Raw genomic sequence first — 6,000 nt, 5'->3', positions numbered from 1 at the left:
ATCAAACCTCTTTTTCTTTATAAATTACCCCATCTCAAGTACGTTTTTATGAGCAGCATGAAAATGGACTAATACAGCCGTCTTGGTTCCAACTGACTTCAGCAAATTTTTTCTTTATCTTACAGCGGAGAGAGTTTCAGCATTTCATCAAGTTGTTTATTTTCTTGTCTGCTATCCTGAAAACTCAATAATTTCTATTAATTACTAGTTTCTTACTTTCGGGGCACAGTTTTAGTAAGTTGTTTCTCTTCTTATCTGCCATGCAGTAAGCCCAAGAATTTATTAATTTTTTTAACCCCTTGAAGCATGGTTCACAACTATATACTTTCCTACAAGGAACTCACTTTAGATCTAAAGAGAGAAATAGATTAAAAGTGAAATGATAGAAAAGTAATTAAAAGAAGGCAGGAGTGGCTCCACTAACATCAGAAAAATAGACTTTAAATTTTTAAAAATAACAAGAAAAAAGGAGGACATATCAATAAAAGTTTTAATACCACAAGAAGATAAAACAATTATAAACATTCACACACTTAATCACAGACCATTAAAATATGTGAAGCAAAAATTGTCAAATGAGGGAGGAGTCCTGGGACATCTCACATATGTTCAGAATATGGAATTTAGTCGCATAGTTTTGGTATAAAACCACTCATCTTCTGTACATTATGTCTCCAAGTCTAGAAACCCTCCGCTTTACACTTTCTGGGAAGTAAACCTCAAATCTGCGGTATGGGAGAAGCATCCAGCATCAAGGAGTGGAGGAAGGATCCACACAGAAATAGCATATTTACAAGGATTGTTCTTGAAAATTATGAGGATCATAAATCACAAAATCAATGCAACCTGAATAAGCTATAAGTTTATTTCTCTTTCAAAAAATTGGAGTATTAAGGAAAAAGGGTGGAGATTATACAATGGCTCTATATTCATCAACCTGCCCCTTCTAGTGTGTTACTTCACACCCTTCAACAGGGGGATACTATCTTGTGATTAATTGCAAATATCACTCTGATATTTGCCAGCTCATCCTTACAAAGAGATAGAATTTACATATACTTCTCCATATTTTGAATCTAGTGTAGCCTTGAGAATTACATTGATTTCTTATAATGTGGTAACATTAATGTTTCCTCTTTTTATATTTGCAGATTTGATTTTCTGAAATTTTATTAAGAATTGTTGTAGCTATATTCATGAGAGATGGATATGTTTTCAAAGTAATGTTGGCCTCATGATGAGTTTAGATATGTTATTTCTAACATATCTCTGGGAGTGTTATATGGTATTTCTAATATAACTCTGGGAGAGTTAGAGTATAACTGGATTCTTCTAAAAATACACCACTGAATAGATTCAAAACATTAAATATTTAGTAATAAATCTGACTAATGTGTAAGCTTTGTACAGTTAAAAAAAAAGTCAGCAAAATAAAAAGACAAGCCACAGGCTGAAAGGAAATTTCTGCAAAGTCATATCTGATAAAGGACTGTTACCAAAATATACAAACAACTCTTAAAACTCAACAATATGAAAGCAAATAACTTAATATTAAAAATAGGCCACATAGCTTAACAGACACACAAAAAATAGCCAAATGTCAAATAAGCATATGAAAAGATGTTCTGCATCAAATGTCATCAGGGCAATGCAAACTAAAATAACACGATACTACCACACATCTATTAGAATGGCCAAAATCCAGAGCACTGGCAATGCAAAATACTGGTGAGGATATAGGGCAACAAGCATGTTCATTTAATTTTTATGGAAATGCAAAATGGCACGGCCACTTTGAAAGACAGGTTAGCCTTGTCTTACAAAACTAAATTCACTATTACAATATGACCCAGCCATCACACTGTGTAGTATTCACCCAAAAGAGTTGAAAACTTATATCCACGAAAAAACCTATGCCCTGATATCTGTAACACCTTTTTCATAATTACCAAAACAGAAGCAATCAAGATGCTCTTCAGTAGGTGAATGGATAAAGAAAGTGTAGCACATTTAGACAATAGAATATTATTCAACACTATACCCCAGATTGAGTTTTCTTTCCTAGGGCTTCGACTCAAAGCTTGGAATTGAGTTTGGGACAAAAGAACTGCTTCGGCGGGTTGTGTGGACACTTTACAAGCCAAATGCTAAGGTGAAGCTGTGGAACTGAGTCCTCCTCCAACAAGAGAGAGAAAAGGGTGTCTTGTGTACTGAGTCCTGGCCTAGTATAATGTCTTCTCAAAGGAAAAAAGGCCTCTGGCATAGAGAAGTCCCTTCTACTTGCAGGAGCGTGTTATTAGGTTGGTGCAAAAGCATTCATGGTCCCCATCATGCTAAGTAATGTCAAATAACACAACTACTTTTGCACCAACCCACCAACTCCTGACCTGGTGGAGAAAAGAAAAAATACAGCTTAAAGTGCAGGGATGTGTTAAGTGCTGATGGGGTGAAGAAAAGAAAATAAAACATCTTAAGTACAGAGTTGGAAAGATGCCTGGGGGAAGAATCTCCTATTCTTATGCAAATGTGTTCCTCCAACAGGGAGAGAAATTTTACTTGCTGTTGGACTGGAGAGAAACTTTTCGATGCTGCTGGGAATGCTGGCCAGCGTGCTGTGTGGAGCCCTTGGGCCAGGTGCCCCAGCCCCAGCTGGGTGGAGGTGGGCAGGGAGTCACCACTCACCTATCTGTCTTGCATGCATGCCTGTGACCATTGGGGTGGTGGTGGAACACCCCCAATATTGTAAAAGAAAAGATAGGTGCCATTACAATCCCCCCCAAAAGAAGGAAAATGCCATAGAAAAGACTGGGTTGGACTGAGGTTGACATTCGCAATCCCCAAGGCAACGGAAGTGGAGGGTCACAGTTTTCTCTACCTTCAGAAGATGTCTGAGGGCAAGAAAAAGCTGAGAAACAAAAGGGAAAGAGGTTTTGTGGGGGATTCTGCATTTGATTCACCCTTCCTCATGTCCCCATACAGGCCACCAAAATGATGTGGGATATTTTGCTCCTTAGTTTAGCTAAAATCCACGTTCTTGCCTCACAACCAGGAAAAATTAGGCACATGGACACTTTGAAGGGTGAGAAGGACAGATTTATTAGGCAAAAAGAAAACTCTCAGCCAAGAAAAACGGGGTCCTGCCAACAGGCTCACACCTCATTGAATACCAGGCCACCACACTCAAGCTGAAGAGGCCAGCCTTCTCCTAACTACATAAGGCACCAATTCCCAGTGGCTCCACTCATTCTCCCAGTGCCCAGGCAGGCCCTCAGTTTATGGCAGGCATGCCCAGACAAGACCCTGGGCAGGTTCCCTCATCTTCACAAAAGTATCTGATATAAACACTTATGGGGTGTGTCAGAGATTCAAGGAAGATAAGGGGACCCTCTTTTTGGTAGATCTTTTTGGTAGAAATTTAAAAATTTATCCAAAATATTACATACATATGCAAACAACCAAGATAGCCAAAATGATTTCAAAAAGAACAAAACTGAAGGCATCAAACCTCTTGATTTTACGAGAACTTAAAAAGCTACAATAATTAAGATAGTGTGAAATTTACATCAAGAAACACAAATAGACCAAAGGAAAAGACAGTCCACTAAAAAAGCAATTTAGTAAAAAAAAAAAAAAAAAGATAACCTTTCAACCAATAGTGCTGAACCAATTGAATATCCATTTGCAAAAAAACAGAAATGTATTCATACTTTCACTACATAAAACATAGCAAGAGTAGCAAGAGTGGCCTTTACTCCAGTTCCCAACAAGTTCCTCCTCTCCATCTGAGACCACCTCAGCCTAGATTTCATCATCCATATCATTATCAGCATTTTGGTAAAAGCCATTCAACAAGTCTCTAGGAAGTTCCAACTTTTCCACATTTTCCTGTCTTCTTCTGAGCCCTCCAAATTGTTCCAAACTCTGCCTGTTACACAGTTCCAAAGTCACTTTCACATTTTTGGATGTCTTTACAGCAGTGCCCTACTCCTGGTACCAACTTACAGTATTAGTCTGTGCTCACACTGTTAATAAAGACATACCTGAGGCTGGGTAATTTATAAAGGATAGAGGCTTAATGGACTCACAGTTCCACATGGCTGGGGAGGCCTCACAATCATGGTGGAAGGCAAAGAGGAGCAAGTCACGTCTTACATGGATGGTGGCAGGCATAGAGACAGAGCTTGTACAGGGGAACTCTTCTTTGTAAAACCATCAGATCTCATGAGACTTATTCACTATGAGGAGAACAGCACAGGAAAGACCCGCCCCCATGATTCAATTACCTTCCACTGGGTCCCTACCATGACATGTGGAAATTGTGAGAGCTACAATTCAAGATGAGATTTGGGTGGGGACACACCCGCACCATATCAGAAACAAAAGAAAATGTTTACGACCTTGAGTTAGACAAGGATTTCTTTGATAACTCACCATAGAACAATCAATAAATAAAAACATGATAAATTGAACTTCATTAAAATTAAGAACTTATCTTTGAAATATTTGCTATGATAAGCAAAAAACAACATATTCAGATAAAATACTTGCAAATCACATACCTTATTAAAAACATCATTTAGAATTTTTAAATCTCAACAAATAGAAAATGAACAAGACAATGAAATTTGACATAAACAATATGAACATACATGTCATCAAAGTGAATATATAATTTTCAATATACACATATATTCAATATCAAAGTTAAGGAAATGCAAATTAATTAGAATTGCATTGCTTTATTCTCAAATGTTAATGAAGTACTAACTGAAGAAACATCTATAAAAAAATCCACAAACCAAAAGAAAAAAAAAACAAACCTCTGGAAGAAACTAATATTAGCAAAAATGAGCCAAGTAGGAAGAAAAATAACTAAACAAATATCAAAAGTAAAAATGGTTACAAGAGCTAAAAGGAAAACCAAATTCAAACAAAAAAGTAGAAGCAAAAATATTAATAATATATTAGGTAAGATTCTGGGAAAATCATAAAGCATACACAGAAGGATACTACATTACAGTTTTAATATATTTGGCTTTCTAATGTGCAGAAAAAATAATAATAATTCTTGTTTCATGTTACACTATCATCTTTGGACCACATATGAACATTAACCATAACAGATATCTAACCCTGTGGTTCCCTCTCTTTCCATACACCTATATCCTCCCAACCAAGATAACATTCTGATTCCCATGTGAATCATTCAGTTGTTATAATTTAATATAGTTTGCATATGTATACATTGCTAATTGTTTTTATTTTAGATATGTTTATCTTATTTGTATCACATACAGAATTTCATACATTTATGTATTTCCTCCTCAATACGGAGAGCTTAATTACCCACCCTCTAAGTGTGAGCTACACTTAGTAGTTTGCTTGTAAAGAGGATGGTATAGAAATGGAAAGAATGCAATTCTATAGAAGAGAAACCTGATAAACACTACCTCAGTCGGTAATCAAGGTTAACGTCATTAGGGATAAGTTATATTTGATAGTGTGTATCCTTGATATGATGTGTTGATAATGACATTTCACCTCAGTAGTCATCCAAAAAGTCATAACCACAGTCTAACCATGAGAAACCATCAGATAAACCCCAACAGAGCAGCATTCTGTAATACCTGACCCTTACTCCTCAAAACAGTCAAGGTCATTAAAAACAAAGACGTCTGAGAAACTGTCACAGTCCAGTGGAGGCTAAGACACATGGCAATGAAATGCAACGTGATATCCTGGAAGAGTTCCTGGGACAGAAAAAGAACTTTTAAGGAAAAAACTAATAAAATTCGAATAAAGTATAGACTTCAGTGTTTTTAAAAGAAGCATTCTGTAAGTGATCTTTTGGGACTTACTTTTTCTTGTTAATATATTATTGCTTAGATTCAATTGCTTGGGGTGTATCTGTAATTTACTTGTCTCAGAATATTCTATTGTGTAAATACACCATTTTTTAATCAATGAACAATCCCATTGATAAGCATCTGATTTATTTCC

The 6,000-nt window shown here is 36.3% G+C and overlaps 2 annotated features.

Annotated features, from left to right (window-relative positions):
- Positions 2,790-3,989: an enhancer, noted in NCBI's record as "MED14-independent group 3 enhancer chr12:55565945-55567144 (GRCh37/hg19 assembly coordinates)". NCBI's record gives its function as "activates an origin of replication core promoter dependent on BRD2, BRD4, P300/CBP and CDK7 cofactors, and independent of MED14, by STARR-seq in HCT116 cells {active_cell/tissue: HCT116}" and the evidence as "EXISTENCE:reporter gene assay evidence [ECO:0000049][PMID:35650434]".
- Positions 2,910-3,671: an enhancer, noted in NCBI's record as "H3K27ac-H3K4me1 hESC enhancer chr12:55566263-55567024 (GRCh37/hg19 assembly coordinates)". NCBI's record gives its function as "activates a minimal SCP1, AML or CMV promoter by ChIP-STARR-seq in primed H9 embryonic stem cells {active_cell/tissue: H9 hESC(primed)}" and the evidence as "EXISTENCE:reporter gene assay evidence [ECO:0000049][PMID:30033119]".

Source organism: Homo sapiens, chromosome 12, assembly GCF_000001405.40.
Source record: "Homo sapiens chromosome 12, GRCh38.p14 Primary Assembly".
Classification (NCBI taxonomy): Eukaryota; Metazoa; Chordata; class Mammalia; order Primates; family Hominidae; genus Homo; species Homo sapiens.
This window is presented reverse-complemented; position numbering and strand designations above follow the sequence as displayed.